Source organism: Homo sapiens, chromosome 12, assembly GCF_000001405.40.
Source record: "Homo sapiens chromosome 12, GRCh38.p14 Primary Assembly".
Classification (NCBI taxonomy): Eukaryota; Metazoa; Chordata; class Mammalia; order Primates; family Hominidae; genus Homo; species Homo sapiens.
Window position 1 is genome coordinate 97,487,088 of NC_000012.12, and position 19,958 is coordinate 97,507,045.

A 19,958-nucleotide genomic window follows, 5' to 3' on the forward strand; every position below is an offset into this window, starting at 1 on the left:
CTAAGAAAAGAATTTCCAGTTTCACCACAGAAAAGATAAGTTTTGCATTTGGAACATCTGAGAGCATCTGAAGTGTTGTCTCATTAAAATTTATGATCATCAGAATTAATTCACATTCATTTCTTTAAGAACCAAATCACCTGGGTTGGATTTGTGTGTGGAATCATAAAAAAAGGATAATGAGAAATGACAGCAGGTCTATGGAGTAGCCAATGAGAGACACTGGGTAGATGTGAGCTTTTTTAAACTTTCCATTTGATATTTGGAGATTATTTGTTAGACTTCGTATATGATATGAAATAAGGAGTATCCTTTCCAAAACTTAAGTTAAAAGATCTAAATGTCTTTAAAAGAGACCTAAACATGCAACAATAAGAAAAATGAAACTGCCACAAGAAAATAGGAATTTTGTAATTTGTTCAGAAAATCTGAAAAGCACGTTTGATGGACCTCAAGCAGCTGGGGTGGAGAGAGTGGGGTATGGAGTAGCAGTAGTAACAGCTGCAGCTAATAATGTTTGTTGAAGATACTGGAGATAACGCTGTGACTGACACTGTGCTTAAGTAACTTAAAGATGCTCTCAGATAGAAAGTCTGAACATCAGATAACTTCCCCACATAGTTACTGCATGAGTCCATTCCCTTGGCTAGGGAAGCCTCATCCTCTCCAATGAAACCAGGTTGCCATGTTTAGCTCCTCGCAGTCTTTGTTCTTCACATCCCCCGGTTGTCTGTGCCAGTAATTCACGGTTGAGGTTGCTGACGTCTCTTGCCAGTAGAAGTCATTTGTGTCTTTCCTTGTGTTTCCATTTTCCTCCTAATCAGTTAATTGCTATGAAGAATTTATTTCTTCTCTAACACTTCAACCGTCTCCTTCTACCCCCACGGATTCTAATTCTAAAACTGCTGCTCACTCTGTGAGACTTTCGGCAGAAGGCTGTCTCTGGGACATGCCATCCCCATCTAGAGACCTGGAGACTGATGATAGCTATCCCATTTCAGGATGAAGGTTTTCTGGCCAGGCACAGTGGGTCACACATGTAATCCAGCGCTTTGGGAGGCTGAAGCGGGTGGATCACCTGAGGTCAGGAGTTCGAGATCAGCCTGGCCAACATGGCGAAACCCTGTCTCTACTAAAAATACAAAAATTAGCTGGTGGTGCATGCCTGTGATCCCAGCTACTCAGAAGGCTGAGGCAGAAGAATTGCTTGAACCTGGGAGGTGGAGGTTGCAGCGAGGAACCTAGGTGGGTGCAGTTGGGATTCACATTGAGACACATTGATCGTGCCTTGTTTTCAGTCTACTCTCTTTGTCCCAGATGAGGCTACACACCAACCCCTTTATTCAAAACTTTAATTCTTGACCAAGGCACTACCTATATACATCAAGACTTTCTTTCTTTGAGGATTGCCAAAGAATATCTGGTCTCTGAGGTACTGGGAAATGAGGCAAAAGTGTCTCTCTTCACTGCTAGCTCCTTGGGGACCAGCAAGCGGCTCTCAAGTTGCGTGGTGGCCCAACTGGAAAAAAGGCAGTTCGGTGCATCCTGGGAATATCCAGGTGAAAGTGTGAGATTTACCTAGAATAGCTTCTGGGCCTCTGGGGTTTTCACGCTGTCTCTGGTGAAGGTGTCCATTTTAGAACTGAAGCAAAAAGGTTTCAATCCGTTCCGTTTTCTTTGTATAGCACTTACCCAGTAGCTCCATACAAGTGAGCACTCAGTAATTAATTTTCTCCTAGTCCTTGCATTACACTTTCTTTGGGATGGAAATTTCTATTTTATGCTCCAGAATAGCCATTTCTAACTCACCCATATGGCCTCAAAGAGTTGGGACTTAAACATAAGCCTATAAGCACTCAGATTATTGAGAAGTATGCATAAAAAATGGACAAGCTGAAGATATGGACAATTTTACTGATGTTTAATTGCACAATTGTTAAAATTGCATCACTGCCATCGAGGTCAATTTGACTTAAGTAACTCTGTTTAGAAATATGAATTATGATATAAAAACAATTAAGCAAGCAATACTTTTATGTTATTTAAAACCTTGCTGTATAGGAAAAGCTACTTTTAGGCCAGGCACAATGGCTCACACCTGTAATCCCGGCACTTTGGGAAGCTGAGGTGGGAAGATCGCTTGAGCTCAGGAGTTTGAGAGCAGCCTGGGCAACATAGCGAGACCTCATCTCTACTAAAAATACAAAAAATTAGTCAGGCATGGTGTCGTGCACCTGTAGTCCCAGCTGCTTGGGAGGCTGAGGCAGGAGGATCACTTGAGCCCAGGAGATTAAGGCTGCAGTGAGCTGTGATCGTGCCACTGCACTCCAGCCTGGATGACATAGAGAGTCCCTGTCTCAAGAAAAAAAGAAAAAAAAAAAAGGCTACTTTTAGCTTGTTAGGTGATAACATCGTAAACTCTGATGACTTTTTAGGTGGTTCTGTCACAATCTGTAATTTGTCTATTTTCTCAAAAATAGGGGGAATAAAATTACTTGTGAAAATATGTCTCAGTGAATTTTTAAATCCAAATTGTCCCTGTGCTGAAAGGATTTCCTGTGAGAAGAACCAATTTTTCTTAAATATGTGTTAATACTTTCACACTACAATGACAAATTTTAATTGTTAATGCTTAGTTGCAGCTGAAGGCTAGTCTATATAAACTAAATATAATAATAACAATAGTTCATATTTATCAAATGCTTGATATGTGTCATGCACTGGGGTAAGCATTTTATATGGATTAATTTATTTAATCTTCACAATCCTAAACTGTAGTACTATTTTCATTCCCATTTTATAGACAGTGGAACTAAGTCATAAGGAAATAAAACAACTTGTCTAACTTGGAATAGGTAGCATCAGGATTTGACCTCAGTAGGCCTGATCCCATGAGGTTACATTTAGGTACATGCTCTATTCCTAGGCCCAATTTAATCATTTTTATTCTTACAGTTCCTTTCTTATGTGATAGTTTTCACATTTACAAACATCTTAAAATGTAAGTTTTGAAAGGTGTAAAGGAAATCCTGAATGAGATTTAGAAGAATGAGTGAGAAATAGAAGAATGAGCCTGGCGGACGGACAGAGTAGTTTACAGAGTAAAGCTCTAGTTCCAGGCATGTTAATTCCACTCATATAGGAAGGAAAGAGCCAATGTAAAAACACCACTTTTTAATTTAAATCTCTATGCATAATGATATGCCAGTTTCAACACTGTGGCTAGGCCAAGCACGGCACCATCTAAGAGAAAACAGACACTGGCGCCAGACTGCACAGATTCAAATCCATCTCTACCATTTACTAACTATGGGATCCAGGGCAAGTTACTTGCTGTCTCTGTAATCCTGTTTCGTCATCTGTTAAATTGGGCTAATAGCATCTATCTTACAGGGTTGTTGGGGGATTAAATGAGTTTCTATACACAAAGCATTTAGGACAGTGCCTGGCACATAGTCAAGTATCATAAGGATGTTTGCTATTTCATTATCATCACCACCACCTCCACCGCCGTCATCATTATCTTCATGTCACTAAAATATGTTTGGCAACAATTTTATATTTATATTTAGACATTCTCAGGGCTTTCATATAGAAAAAGAAGATACAAAATTCAACTTATCTTGGATGAACTTTTCTAAACAAGGCAATTAGAGCAACTAGATTTCTTTTGTTTTATAATTTGAATGGTAATTTAAAAAACTAATCAGCCAGATGTTGTCATGACTCCATCTGAAGTTGGAAGTTTGCACCCAGCGAAAGGGGATTTGATGTATAAATTGCACAACTATCAAACTGCAACAGAGTGACTGAACACTTATCTTGAAAATCTTAAGTTGGGATTGGCAAAAAAAGAAAAACAATGAGCTACTCCCATTTGCAAAGTCCAAGTGATTAGGGAAAATGGGTTTGAGTTTGACCTAATTAATTTATTTTGGGGTGATGTTGATAGAAGTAAGTGTATGTCATAGATAACAGTTCTGATAGATTCCCACACAGTTAAACCTTTGCTTCTGCTTTCTTCGATGAATCGAAATGCATGCACTCTGAAGCCCTCTGAGAGCATTCACAGGGGTAAGACAGGTTTTATTCCTCCAAAGCAATTTGGTCGAACTCTGCAGCTCACCTATGGGGAAGGCTGGCAAAATTCCAAAGGTGATTAGTGTCGTTTCTATTATTTCACAGGGTGGAGTGTGTTTGAATGGATGGAAGGGAAAGTCTATAATTTCATGGCTGTTAGTAGAACATTTCTGCTAAACCACTTTTTATCTAAAACATTCCAGATGAGTCGAGGGCACGGTACTGTCACCAGAATCGAATGCACCCATGGATGTTACTAAATCTTAACTAAACAAGTCAGAAAAATGTAAATATTTCCTCCAAAATGTTGATTACCTTTTAACCCGTTTGTGTGTGTGTGTGATCACAATCATCTTTTTAATTATTTAAACTCTGTGGATTTCTCTATTAATATAAGATTAGCATTGCGAGCTTAACCTGGACCAGTTGGGAAGAGGTATTGCATTTTAAAATTGTGCCACCATTGTCTTGTTTAGGAAGAATGACTTGGGCAATACCAAATGTTGAGTTATCAAGTATTTCGATACCCATATGCATCATCTGCTGTAAGTGTAAGCATCTTCTCATTCTTATAGATTCTTTGAATTACATTATAAATGACTACCATGTCAATAGATTAGAACAACAATCGTGTCATGGCTTTTTTGTCGTCATGGGTCATTTTCATCAAATGTTCAGTAATTTCATTGCACTGTGTAATTAGGTGAAGAAACTCCACCCGAGCGTCCATGGGTCAGCTATGTGGACTCTAGCTGCCAAAGGCGCTTCTCCTTCTGAACAGAGCGCTTTGCTCAGCCAGTGTAGACATGGCCTGATAAACAATGGAACTTCTCCCTTGAGAACTGGAGTTTGGATTGATCTAATTCCTTAATTCAAAAATGTGCACAGGTTTGATGAGTGGTTAAGATGCCTGCCTTTTAGTGAAACAAGAGCTTAAATTGACAGTACTGTGAAGAATTCAGTAATTTATAATGAACTTGAAAGGCAGTAGCACTCACTGTTGCAAAAGCTAATCAAGGGACTATCAAATCAAAGTTTTTACATGAGCTTAAATATCTGTGACAGGGAGGTTGTTCGTGCAGGTTTATATCTGTCAGATCTTAACACTAAACCTGCCAGAGTGTAACATGGTCCTGTCACTTTTAACCAAGATGTCACATATATTGTGGGAAACACGCTGCTCTGCATTTTCTTTTCTAGGATTTTACTAGGAAAAGCAAATGTAAAATAAAGTTTTTTTGTTTATTTGTTTGCTTGTTGTTTTTTTTTTAACGCTACATTTTTATTTTGCAGATTCTCAGGATGATGGAGTGAGTGATGGAATAGGTTGCCAACTGTAGTTACTCCACTCAGCACAGAATGGCTGCGGGGAAATATAATCAGACATGCCCAAAGAAGTCTGCTTAGGGTGAAACAAATACCTTTGAGGTTTAAATCAGGTGTGTAAAGAATATTGGAAACATGACTTGTTTTGTTTTTGTTTTTGCATTTGTGTTTGTCAAGAAAAGTAGAAAGGCTGATGCTTCTTGCCTGTTTTTCCAACTCTTTTAATGCTATAAAATGCACCCCAAATTTAACCCATTCTCTCTCCTAGGATTTGATATACCCAGTTTACTCCCTTGAAGGTCCTCTATCTCATCAAAGCTTTAGATTTTAAAAGCATGATTGTATATTTTTATTTTCAAAAAGATTTTGATTTTGGAGATATTTTAAAATTGGAAATTGAACTCAGATAGGCTTTACCATTTGTCTGTTTTCTTAGAAGAATAAATGCTATTTGCAATATAAGAGTTAGCTGCCAGAAACCTAAGAAAGTTATGTTCAAATTATTTTTACAAATAGATGTTCACATCACCTTTAAACAGTAGTAATGGCTCAGAAAAAATCAAGCAAAGTTAACATCTTTAAAAAAATACAAACCACATTGCTTTACAGGATGAGGTTGTGCTTAATAACGTATGCTTAATTCATTCAGAAACTACACGATTTTTGTTGCTATATTTTGTTAGAAAGGAAGGAGAGACTGTTTCTACAGGTGTCATACAAAAATCAATACTGAGCCAAGGATTATTGGATCCCATAGAACCACGGAGACTTGGTAGTGAAATTCTTCCAAAGGTGAGTAGGGGCATTGATTTCCTTTCCCATGCCTGCAGAAATATGACACAATTAACAGAGGCTAAGTTTAGACAGGAAATAAGTCTGATTTGAAACTGTACTGTAAAAGAATTAGTGATACTTTTTTCAAACAAATAAATGAGAAAATGTAAGTAGAATTTCAACATATACATTTCTCTTATTTATTTTCTTAGATTCTTTTCTTTATTCTCTTGGGTACTTTTGAAAAATAAACCACCAAAAATGGACTCCTTGACTGACATTTTATCTGTAATTCAGATCCTGTGATTTCCACGTGGAATACTTGCATTATACGATATAAAAGAGTCTCTCTCTTAAACCTATAACCAAGAATGCAGCAACCCGTCAGTTTCCAAGAAAAAGCATATTATCTACATAATCACAATCACACTTACAAATATGAGCCCATCACTAACCTTCCTTATTTAAGCTATGTATTTTTCCAGCTAATTTGTGCTATAATTTTTAGACACAAACTTGTTTGTTTACATATTTTACAGTTTTTTCTAGATTTCTTAAAGCTAAAAAACTATACATAACATACTGATTGTTTGACTGCATTACTTAGCATTCCATCCGTGCAGGCAGATGGTGTTCCTAGGTTTGGAAATATAAATCCCATGGGAAGTCAGCTGAAGACCATTTTATGCATCACTCATCCTGTTAGAGCCCTGTGCTGTTCTGTCTCTCTATAAGGTAAGAGATTTATTGTGAATTGGCTTCCAGAAGTAGAAAATGTTGTATGCTAATGGATGTTCCTTCAAAGTGGCTTCTGGAGCTCATACAGAAATTGTTTTATAAGCAAAAGAATAATTGGAACAATTCAAGTTACGCATACATGCATGTTCATCTGTCCCCAGGTAGCATTTGGTTGTTCTATCCTAGGATCCACATTCTATAATATTATCTTCTTCATGTGAAGTGAGATGGTAAATTGTTAATTTTTATAATGAATTTGAGCAGAGTAGAGGATTAAGGAAAATAATTTAGGCCTCAAAGTAGAAAATTGACAAATTACCATCTTGCTTTGTCTGGGGATAGATATAATTTGAGTTTTAGTAATTTGTGGGATCAAAAATGGATTATAAGAAAATTAATCCGGGTGCAGTGACTCACACCTGTAAACCCAGCTACTTGGGAGGCTGAGGTGGGAGGACCCCTTGAGCCCAGGAATTTGAGGCTGCAGTGAGCTATGATTGTGCCACTGTACTCCAGCCTGGGTAACAGAGACCACATCGCTATAAATAAAATGACATTAAAAGACAGTTAAAATATAAAATTCCTGCACATTCACAGTAATATAAAAACCTCAGTATTTTTTTTTAGATTATTACTTTTTGCTGGCCAGTCAAAAATTCTTACTTTTTTTTCTTATTCTGAACTTTCAGACTGGCTGAAACCACCACGGTTGTTTACAATTTATGCTCTAACTTTGGATCACCTAGTTAATACTCTAACTCCGATTATTACCAAAGACAATGTTCTATAAAAGATATTGTCTATTAGAAGGATGCTTCTGCATTATTAATAAAATCACAGGGAAAATGCAACATTTTGGATGTCACATCTGATAAGGTAAGATTTTATCATGTCTCGTAAGATGTGATTTCATACGATTTTACTTATGACTATCCTAGCCCCAGGAAAGTTTTCATTTATCCATTTGATGTAGAAATCTATCATATAAAGCTTCATATACAATTATTTAAACTGTGACCTAAAAGCCGGGCTACTGAATATCTTTTGTTTATGTGTAAGTCACATTATTTTTACTGTTTTTTTCATCCTTTGCAGCTTAGAAAAATATAACTCAGTACACCATACAGCATATTTAAATTAAAATATAAATTATGTACATCATTATTCTTATGGGGGGGGAGCCGCTGGGAAAGGCATGCTATTCTATAACCCTGGACAAAATTTGACTTTTGATGTGTGAATTCTTAAATGTGCACAAACCAAAGACAATGGCATATATACTTTGACACATTCTGAAGTTAAAAGAGGACATGAGGATTGTGAGATAAGTGGCGATTGTGTCTACTATTGTAATAATATAATGTCTGCATGACAAGAAAAAAAGTAAAAAAGCAATGGCGAGATGATGGAGAAGCTGAACATAAGTAAAATTCCAGGTACCTGTTGATGCAATATGAGGATACTAAAATATCTAGCCTTCTATGTATGCTATATATACTGTAATCCATCAGAATGGAGGCACTGTCTTCAAGTCCAAAAATATTAGTGTGTTCAACACTGCTACCCTGTATACTATACTAAAATCCCTCATAATATATAAAATATATATTATCCATGTCTGAGCAACGTGATACAGCCATTCTCTCTTTGGGTTAAGTATAGCTTATGATTTTCCTAAAATGTCGCAAAGATAAGCATCTACTAGATAATTCGTGATTTGTAAATATCATGACTGTCTGAGGGGAAGTGGCAATTAAGGGAAGCATAATTATCTTCAATGTGAAGAAGGTCTGGGATGACAACTTTGGGGAGCACAGTGTCTTTGGCTCCTTAGCATTTTCTTGACTTGCTTTGTTGTCGTCCTTCTGGTTCTTTCTGGATCCATCTCTCTTTTGTTTCCATTTGAAACCTCTATTGTATTCCAGTTGGCAGTTAAAGAACAGAAACAGCAATAAGACTGCGTGGCTACATTTTCCCAGTGCCACCAACTGGGATTTAAGCTGACTAACATTTTGAAAGCCCAGCCCATTTCATTCACAGCAGGATGGCAGGTAAAAGCATTTCTGTATTAAAGTATACACTTTGTTTCTTCAGGTTCTCGGTCTAATTTCTCTTGTTTGCCAGTTGGGGGGAGAAATGAAAGTAGGTTGGGGATGAAATGCCTGGGGTATTTAATCAAATGCCCAGCAACTCCTGATTATAGGATGCAAAAATTTCACTTTTGAGGATTAACTATGGTGGATTTTTTTCAACCCAAATGGGTGTACCCTTCTCTCCAGCATGTTATGGGGCTACTTTCTACCACTGCCAAAATAGAATGTAGTAGAAGAATTAGAAGAATTCCAAGTAGTTTTAATAATAACTCCTGGGTTATTAAAAATTAAATATCTGGGGTAAAAAAAATCCCATTAAATATACATGTTTGTGAAGTACCTCAAACATATATGTGTTTTACAAAATTTTACGTGTCATTATTTGCTCCTATTAGAACAAGAAATTGAGAATGGGTTTCACAGTGTTCTGTTAATTTGATTACTGTGTCCTAAGTGGTAAGTATAAACCTCCTTATGTATTTTGTGAAGCTCACTTAATCAAGCAAATATTATAAAACACACTATCATATCACTATGCTGATCCTTGACCTTTTGGCTTGTCACTCTCTTGTGTTGGATGTCTTTTTCTCATGTGCATGCACATGAAGCTTGGGGACAGAAAGAGTGAGGAAAAACATTAGCCCTGCTCCCTGAATAGTAATGGGCTGTGGAATTGTCTTTTTGGAGGGGACTTCCCCTGGGAACAATGAAATTGGGATGAATATTATCAGTTTGCATTGACATTGAATGCATTTTTAAGGGAGCTTAGATCACTCTGTAAGAGTCATCTTGGATAGGTGAATGGAATACACAGTTGCAGTAGGAAGACTAAAGTTCTGAGATGTGTCAGATGACAGTGATAATATCATAACTCATTTTATGAATGAATCAAAAAGTTCCTCAGCTAGTGCCCACATACTCATATATTGAAATAAATTTTACAAAGCCTCTTCTTTCCCTGGAGTCTGCACATATCCCATCTTACCATGGAATATAAACCTGCTTTGCTTGGTTTTGTATTCTATGACCATCCTCTAGATATTTCTTACCAGATTAGGTCAACAGTTAACAGAGAATACAGTGGAAAAGTAAAATAACATTTTCAAAGTTTTAGCAAGAAAAATATGAATAATTAAAGGTGAATGCATGTGCATGCTATGACTGTACCTAGAATCTTTTCAAGGGCTTGAGGTCCCTCTGTCTTAGTAATTAGACAAATTCTGTAGCCAGTTTGGCCTCACCCTGACAAAGATTTTCTATCTATAAATGTCCTTTGGGCCCATGAGGAATTTTGGACCCTCATTTATTTTCTAAAGAGAGGTTCAAGATCAACAAGTTCAAAATATTTCAAAGTTGCCATGCACTTCTCTGTTTAAGTATAGCAGCATTGCTGTGGATATAAACAAAATAATTCAGACACTGACCAGGGCAACTCCACGGCACTCTAGTGCACTAAATGACCCCCTCATTGTCTAATAACATGAGGCCTTACGTTTGTTTAGTGCTTTCTGGTTTTCAAAACCCTTTCCCATGATAGTCATGAATGAAGATACGATTTAGAGAGGTAGGGCACAAGGATGATTTTTTTTTTTTTGCCTTTCTTTTTCTAACTTGTTAAATGAAAAATGCTAGAGAATAAAATGTGTTTTGTTTTTTAATCAAAGAAACACATATAATGTGAATTAGAGCATAATTGTCATGGTGAGGAGATGGGGAAGGAGGCAGTCACCCTTCCGCTACTGTGGTTTGTAGGGGTCCGCTATGCTATGTTAATAAGTTTACAGCTCAAAAGAAGGCTGTACCATTTCTCTCTAATGTGACGTAAAGTTAATAGACCCCTTGAACAGATTCATCTTGAAATATGAAGATCAATCATCCATGGTTCAGGTCAAATACCTGCTCACACATATTTACTGAGCAGACTAGTCCAAATTTTTCAACAAAGTAATAATACAAATAGAGGAGGGGAGGGAACAAGGACTCCTTGGGTCTAGGGGTGTTTCCCCAAGCAAGTTTTAAGCAAAACCATTTTTAATTGGAAGCTTTGTGATTTAGCTTAGAAATTCACTCTATTCTGTTAGATTATTTTACTATTTTTTAAAGTTTTAGTAATAAGGGGCTTTGGCTTCCTTGCTACGGGGATCTAGAATATTGATGTTATGTATGAATGTGGGTGATATGATGAAAATATTACCAATTAAGTTTGGTGCACAAATATGGTGGTTGAACCAGAATTGGACTGGTTCGCATTTCTGCTCTACCACTTATTAGCTGTATAAACAGTTTCTAAACCCGCTTCTTCACCTACAAAATGAGGAAAGTAATCATCCCCATCCCCATAGAGTGGTTGTAAAGATTAAACAGGATAATGAGTATAAAGCCTATGGTAAGGGGTTGACGAGTCTTAGCAATGATCTTTAATATTGTTGTTATTTATTGCCTGTCTTTGCATGTATACACATATCTTCTATATACAATTTTTCTGTGTAATGCATTATGATTAAAAAAAATGTTGCCTAAAATTACCTGATAAAAATATTAAAGAAAATTCTGTCAGGCAATCGTGGTAACTACAGAAACTAGGAAAATCGTGAAAAGCCAGTACCTTCTGTCAGCATTACCAGCCTTTCTTGAGAAGTCCTTATGGGCTCTGCCTCTCTGTTTTTCTCTACTGCTAAGACCTCCTTTCAATAAGGACCTGAAATTCATCCACACGAAGATCTAGATGACTGAGAACATTTGAGGTGCTGCCCCTGTGAAGGTCACTGACCTTTTATTAAGGGTCAGATACTAAGCTGATGAGGTTTCAGGCATCGGTAGCAGCTGGAGACATTTGTCTGACAGTGTGATCTACCCCTGGCCTTCAGGAGCTCTCCTCAGAGTGGTAATGGTTAAGTGGGCCAATGGGTAAGGTTAGTTCTGCTGAAGGTGCCCGCTGGGGCTGTCTATGGGGTTTGTCTGACATCCTCAAAGGCTGCCTCTGTCTCTAAGCCTGGGACCATTTAGGAATGTCTGTCAGCTTTTTCGATTTTTTTTTCTTTTCTCACATTTATATCTGTGGGTTTTGTATCTAGTTATACCTTAAACACAAACTGTAATCCTTTGAACATTTTTTCCTAATATTCTTTATTTTTGGATATACATCAATTTTTTTTTCTACCCACATCCTATCCATATACTCGTTCTTGCTTGTCCATTGTATTTCTTTCAGAGATCTGTATTCATAATTGTTTTTCACATATCCGACTATTTTTCTGAGATGTTCTCCTGTAATATTCTTTTTTAAAATGTAACTTGTTTTACCTGTATTTTCTGCACCCATGTTTTGGGATTTGAACGATTGGGTTCAAATTTAAGATATGCCTTCACTAGCAATGTATGCTTAGAAAACCATTTAATTTCTCAGCTGAGTTTATCAGAGGTGGAAATAGAAGGCTCTGCCCATAGTATTGTAAAAATCAAATAAGATCAAAGTGTTTTGTAAACTCTAAAATGATATAGAGCTTTTTATGTTTTCTTCTTTTTCTTTTTTTTTCTTTTTCTTTTTCTTTTTTCTTTCTTTTTTTTTTTTTTTTGAGACAGAGTCTCACTCACTCTGTTGCCCAGACTGGAGTGCAATGGCACGATCTTTGCTCACTGCAGCTTCCACCTCCCAGGTTCAAGCAATTCTCCTTCCTCAGCCTCCCGAGTAGCTGGGATTACAGGTGTGTGCCACCACTCCTGGATAATTTTTGTATTTTTGTACAGATGGGGTTTCACCATGTTGACCAGGCTGGTTTTGAGCTCCTGACCTCGGGCGATCTGCCTGCCTTGGCCTCCCAAAGTATTAGGATTACAGGCATGAGTCATCATGCCCGGCCTATGTCTTCTTTTTACTCATTACAACTAGCCCCTCATGCATGTTTTTAAAAAGATGGGCATGAAGAGACACATCATGTTTAATAATTTGTGAAAGGAGAGATAGGATGATCTATCTTTTGACATTTTTCCCCATTACCTGAAAGAACTATTCTGTGCATTCCCATGATATGGCTGTCAATTGCCTTCTCCCAGCATTATATCATTCAACGCAGAGAGGAGAATTTTCTCCGATGTAAATGTAAGAGAAGAAACGTCCGCTGGTAAACAGAAGCAGCCTGTCCTGCTGCTTTGAGCCACATCCACAAACTGTTTCTCAAAGAGTTCAGATCCTTTTGGAGAGCATCAGTGTATGACATGGTCATATACTGACTGAATCAGTCATGGATTTCAGTCCACGATTCATGGACTGAAATCAGGAAGCACGAGTGCTTCAGGATCCTCTACACAAATGAGGGATGATATAAGTTAATATTTATCAAGAACCTACTGTGCATAAGACACTTCCAATAATAATGACTGCTGACTTGAGGTTTTTGCTAGACACTGCATAGGCACTGAACTACAGATTTTATCCAAGTTATTTGATCCTTAAACCACTCTGTGACACTGGAATTATTACATCCACTTAACAGTTGAAGAAACTGAGGGCCGTCTGACACCAAAGCCAATATTAACTGGATTTTCCCCTAGGATCCTGGGATGCCGATATTATGATATGCATTTTGCAGCTAGAGCCATTGGGACACAGAGTGTTTAAATAACTTGTCCACATAGCTCTATGTGGAAGAGCTGCAATCCCATTCAGGTCAGCCCGACCCTGAACACTCCACTGCACTAACTTGCTGAGTATCTCTAATCTTGGGAAGAATCTTTCTTTCAGTTTTCTTTTAATTAACAATCAACTATGGATTGATACTTTCATAAAACAGAATACAATTGAATTACTAGAAAAATAAAATTAAAACCCAGACATACAAGACACAAACTCAATTTTCTATTATTAGATTCAACAAACATAAAATTACTCTGCCACTTTGCTATAGGTGTTTCTAAATGATTGCTCACAATGTCTGTGCCTATTTTGTGGTGGACCAGTAACAAAACTGCTGGACTCAACAGCCAGCCACAGACAAGGCTTTGAGGAGCACTTGTCTAGGACTGTGGAATATGACCTAGCTGAAGATAAGGCAGTTTTCTTATTCATTAGCAGAAGTCTTGTAGGCATGGATTTAATTTCAATATTTACCAGTAAGGCCTTGGGTGATACCAAGGTAGGAAATAGACTAAAACACAGTTAAACGTTAAAAGTCATTGCCCCTACTTTTTGTGCTTTTTTATCTAGGGAAAGTTAAATGGAATGTCTTAACAATATACCCACAGGAATTAAATTAATTTTGTATGGAATATGTATTTGAAGGCCTACTGTCTTGTAACCTACATAACTGAGAAATGTAGACCATTGTAAATTAGCTTATTTGATAAAATAGGTATACCACTATATTGCAGGTATATTACTTTTTCTCCAGAGGACAGGCTCATTGTTGTGTTGATTAATTAACATTCTCACCCACCGTATCCAAGCAGGTTACAGAAATTAAAACTTGCAGGATGACAAAGCCAGAAAAGCAAACATTTCTGGTTAGTTCCCACAGTGACACTACAGAAATGCCTGTCACCTGCCTCTCCTTGCTGGGCAGAGCAAGTTAGCTCAGCATTGGTCCCCTTTTCAGCATTTGTCAAAGCAGATCTTAGAATGGCCATGAAAAATGGCTGGTTAGTGTCATTCAGGGGAGAACAGGGACTATAGCAGGTACCTGTCTCCACCTGTCGAGAAATATCCACAGAAAATAGATGAGAGAACAAGCCTTAATAAATAGATGACGCAAAAGTTGCTATTTTTGTGCTTATTTGGCAATATTATATGCCAGATTTCAAGACAAAACTTAGTTTATCTTGTTTCCTGGCCCACCCTCTCAAAGCACATTACTGCTGCTTGGAATGCCGCACTAACTCAGTATTAGTATGAGTTACGGTTGATAATGATTGGACTTTAACTTTAAGGAAGAGGTACTAGATTAGAAGATCTGTTTGGACCAATCATTGCATTATATGTGTTGTAGTCATGTCAATGTAGGACTTTTTCTGCAATCAGTGGAGGTAAAAATAGTGGCAGAAAGTAGAAAGAATCCTTGTTTGTCTTATAATGGAGACTTTCTTGGCCATTAAATTGGTGACCTTAGTGTCCTGAAGTTCAAATGAAACTGCTTCATTCTTGTTCTTAAGCAATGCTTTGTCTTGGTGTAAAATCTATTATTTAAATTTAATGTAATAATTCATGCACTGATTATTCATTTATGGAGTGCACACTTATGCACCAGGTCCTGTGGGAGATTGCTAGATCTTGGAGATAAAACTCTGAATACTTGATTTTTCCCTCAAGAAGTTTCCACCTTGGTTGTGGAGGCACACAGAGGCAGACATTGAAAATATTGTAGCATCTGCTATAATAAATGATTTTTTTTGAGACAATCTCACTCTGCCACCAGGCTGCAGTACAATGGTGCAATCACAGCTCACTGCAGTCTCCACTTTCTGAGCTCAAGCAATCCTCCCACCTCAGCCTCCCGAGTAGCTCAGACAACAAGCTCATGCCACCATGCCTGCCTAATTTTTTCTTTTATTTTTAATAGAGATGAGGTCTCACTAAGTGCCTAGGTTGGTTTCAAACTTCTGGGCTCAAATGATCCACCCACCTCAGCCTCCCACAGTGCTGGGATTCCCAGGCATGAGCCACTGTGGGGCCTCTATGAATGTAGAACTGACAAGCTCTGGCTGTCAAGTCAGGAAGTGCTTCACAAAATAGTTGACTTTTAGCCTAGATAAGGAAAAATAAATAAGAGTTCTAAATGTAGTAATAGTAAACACTTATATTGATATTCTTGTACAATGTGACTTCCTTGGGCTCTTTTGATTCATGACCTATTTTCTTGGGAGTCTTGGTCTCCCAATAGAGCACCTGTTTTCATGGAATCTTTCATGTTATTTCTCTGCTTTTCCATGTCATGTTCCTTGTGTCTGGGCAATAGCTAAAAGTTAGTATGGCTAAAAGCAAATTTTGTTTATGCTTTCCATATCTCTCCACTGCCTGTCTTTACCATATTGATTTCCAGCAGCTTCCTTCTAGTTTCAAAAACTTAGCATCTGTTGATTATTTTAATTTCCTTCTTCTCCTATAGCAAAATTCATCAGGAGTTAACAGGCTCCCAACTTTTAAATAGGACTTTAGCCTTACCTGCCAGGATCTGCAATACAAGGCACACCTAAATAGCATTTAATTTGTTTAAACAAAAGCTTATACTGACTCAATTTTATCGACGTGAACTTTGACCACATGGAGACTTTAGTTTGAAAAAATTAAAATGGGTAAATTATCTATAGTGAGATTAGAGAATTTCAAAAACACTCCCTTTCTATTATTGTTTATTTTTTTTAATTCCAGGAAAAAAAAAAAAGGTGGGATGCTTATTAAAAAAAAATAAGCACTTTGAGGACTAATGACTGTAACCATGCACTGCTAACTGGCAAACCAGACGAAGTCCACAGACAAAAAAGATAATGTTTAACAATGGGAAAAATTCCCCAAGTGAGCCAAATAGGCCTCCTCGTGATGTCTGGCTGCAAATTAGACATTGGTGAATCCACCCAAACTTGGAGTCATTAATAAATGCCAATGCTACAGTAAATGTCAGCTAAAGTGTGAAGGGAGCAAATCCCTGCATGCTTCAGGAAAGTGGAAAAAGTCCATCTCAGATCTTATTTTTGTACAGACACACTTTCTATTCCCATCTAGAATATTGCAGTTCAGACATGGATAATGACTAATGCATCTTAAGATGCTCACAGTCACTGCTTGATAAATATATGTCACTATTCATTTATTAAGAAAGACCAATACAATTAAAACTTTTTTTTTTCTTCTTTTCTGAGAGAGAGTCTCATTGTGTCACCCAGGCTGGAGAGCAATGGTCCCATCTCAACTCAGTGCAACCTCTGCCTCCTGGGTTCAAGCGATTCTCAGGCATGTGCCACCACGCCCTGCTAATTTTTGTATTTTTAGTAGAGATGTGTTTTCACTATGTTAGCCAGGCGGTCTCGGACTCCTGGCCTCAAGTGATGGCTCACTCCTGTAACCCCGGCACTCTGGGAGGCCGAGACAGGCAGATCACTTGAGGTCAGGAGTTGGAGACCAGCCTGGCCAACATGGCAAACCCCCATTTCTACTGAAAATACAAAAATTAGCCAGGCCTGGTAGCACACGCCTGTAGTCGCAGATACTTGGGAGGCTGAGGCAGGAAAATCGCTTAAACCTGGGAGGCAGAGGTTGCAGAGTGGAGAGATTGCTTCAGTGCACTCCAACCTGGGCGACAGAGTGAGACTTCATTTCAAAAAAAAAAAAAAAAAAAAAGAATGCACAGATGCACAAACTTTAATGAATAGGTTTAATCTAAATCTTAAATACTAGGTTTCCTAAAATACGTTTCTTATTTTATGTCAGTATTTTCATCATAATATTATAATATTGCCTTAAAAGCATTATTAGCTCAATGATCTACATGTGTAAAGAGTATGATATCATAAAACCTTACCTTTTACTTTTTGGCTTTTGTATTACCAATAAAGAGGGATTCTGAGAATTGTATTTATTTTTGTGAACATGAAGAAAAAAGGAGTCCTTAGAAAAATTAGATTTGCCTGAAGGGGTCACTTACATTTATTTTAAATATTTGTTTTCACTATACCTTGGCTATCCTAATGCATATGGTTTCAGACTTCAATTTGTTTTATATCCAGGATAGGAGGATAGGGAAAATGAGTGAGTTCTCTTTATGCATTGCTCTACTGAGTTCTAGCCTTTGGACACATAGAAAATGACTCTTGGACTTTCTCTCTCTGATGAGAGAAGGAAATGGTAAAGAAAGTAATATAAAAAGGATTATCTTCCTGGAAACCTTGGTCGCCCCTGTTAGAGAGTCTCTCATTTTAATCTTCATGTTATGTTCACTTTTATTTCACTTTGCTAGTCATGGCTTATGAAAGATTTTAATTGAAAAATATTTGATTCTTATTTTCTCTCTGGGATTTATACTTTGAAATAAGTGAAATTTAGTGTCTGACATGCAAATTATTCAGCAGTGTCTAAAGCAAAATCAATATAATGGTTTTTCTTAAGGCACTTGCAAGAGCAATTAGAAATATATTAATAGTTAACTCACTATGCTTACAGAATCACAAATGAGCATCAAAACAGTTCTGATTTAAGAAAGTCTCGGCAATCAGTGATGAATGCCAGTCTCGTCAAATAAGTGGCTGCTTGAAAAGTATTTGGGTTTTGACAAAACTTTAAGCAAAAATTGACAGCAGCATAGGGCTATGTTTAGATCTCTTGCATGGTAGCACACTAGCAGATGCTTGGTTCTGACAACAAAGACTGAACAGGTTTACAGTGAAAACTCAGTAACATTTGTGTTCTGCAGTAATGAATTCTCACTGTGAATCACAAGTGGTTTCTTTCATGCAAACCGTAAATATAAATGGTGGCAAAGCTATGCATTACATGTTTTACTAACTTCAGTCATTCTTATCCATTAACTTACAAAACGCACATATTTGCTATTGCATATTAATAATGGTGTGGATGGTACACAGGTGGCTTCTGTTTTACTAAGATCACTTTTATTTTTTATGTTTCTAGAGCTTTCAATATAATCCAGAGAGAATTTTAGAGCTGGGTTTAAGTTTTGATATCACTGCCATGACAAGGTGCTTAAAATGAATTTAAGATGTCTACTTATAAAATCCTTGTTACCAAAAAAATTCAAGATTTCAATTTGTACATTTTCAGATGGATGGAAAGAAAGTATGGTTAGATCTTAGTACCTGAAAACCAGTTTATTATCTTATACATTGCCAAGAGGATGAATATACAATAAATGTAATACATGCAGGTGTGAACATTTAAAATATTAATATTGACTTCTGTATAAATGAGGTCAATTAATTATTCTAAAAACCCACATATTTTAATAAAAGTAGCCATTATAACTATTGTAAGTACATGTAATGATACATTACACTTTTAATATATAAACCAGGTAGGTAGATTGAAAAATATAAACATTCGTGACCACATTAGATTTTATATTACAGTACAATTAAAAGGCGTTTATTAGCATCAAACTATCTTTTCAAATGTCCAAATTTATAACATAATTAAAACTTTATAGAACAGCTCAAAACCCTATTTCTTTTATGACTGATTTATCTAATTCATAAAACTAATCTGTATTTAACATGAGAGACATATTGAAATCAAAATAATGGTGAGCCTCTTTCCCTATGTGAAATTCCATAATTATTTTTCAGCGATTAATATAAAATACTTATTTATCAAAAATATTTGTCAATATGAACTGATAACCTCTTATCTTCCAGGCACTGTGCTAGGCTCAAAGATAGAGATGAATGAGATAAATTATCTGTCTTTTAGGACATCGTCAAGTTGGGATGAGAGGAAAAATCAATAAATTGCCAGACAAAGTAGAGAAAATTTAGTGTCAGAAAATCCCTATGTGGTAACTGGGAAATGTGTCACCTAAAAAAGATGACATTTAAGCTGATTGCTGAAGCATGCGGATTGAAGACATTAGGGTAATCTGTTTTTTTTTTTTTTTTTTTTTTTTTGGAGATGTAGTCTTGCTCTGTCACCCAGGGTGGAGTGCAATGGCGCAATCTCCGCTCACTGCAACCTCTGCCTCCTGGGTTCAAGCAATTCTCCTGCCTCAGCCTCCTGAGTAGCTGGGATTACAGGCACGCACCACCACTCCCGGCTAATTTTTATATTTTTAGTAGAGACGGGGTTTAACTATGTTGGCCAGGCTGGTCTTGAACTCCTGACCTCATGATCCGCCTACCTCAGCCTCCCAAAGTGCTGGGATTATAGGCATGAGCCACTGCGCCCGGCCAGAGGAATCATTCTAAGCGGAGAAGATAACACCTGCAAAAGTATGCCACAGTTATGTTGGGAAT

The 19,958-nt window shown here is 37.2% G+C and overlaps 1 long non-coding RNA gene and 1 other non-coding gene across 53 annotated transcripts in view; both read left to right on the top strand.

Moving 5' to 3' along the window:
- RMST (rhabdomyosarcoma 2 associated transcript) overlaps nucleotides 1–19,958 on the top strand; it is a 102,232-nt gene that overhangs the window by 24,284 nt on the left and 57,990 nt on the right. For 8 of the 52 annotated variants that reach the window (NR_186094.1, NR_186073.1, NR_186064.1 and 5 more), the window contains 5 exons: nucleotides 5,374–5,519; nucleotides 6,090–6,198; nucleotides 6,788–6,915; nucleotides 7,608–7,794; nucleotides 8,844–8,969. This is a non-coding gene — a long non-coding RNA (rhabdomyosarcoma 2 associated transcript). Of the gene's footprint in view, nucleotides 1–4,556; nucleotides 4,632–5,373; nucleotides 5,520–6,089; nucleotides 6,199–6,787; nucleotides 6,916–7,607; nucleotides 7,795–8,843; nucleotides 8,970–9,406; nucleotides 9,468–19,958 lie in introns of all 52 variants that reach the window. The other 44 variants (NR_186066.1, NR_186103.1, NR_186063.1 and 41 more) reach the window with 19 other exon arrangements.
- Nucleotides 4,822–4,891, top strand: MIR1251 (microRNA 1251). Its single transcript, NR_031653.1, has one exon. It is a non-coding gene; the product is annotated as a microRNA 1251 (primary transcript).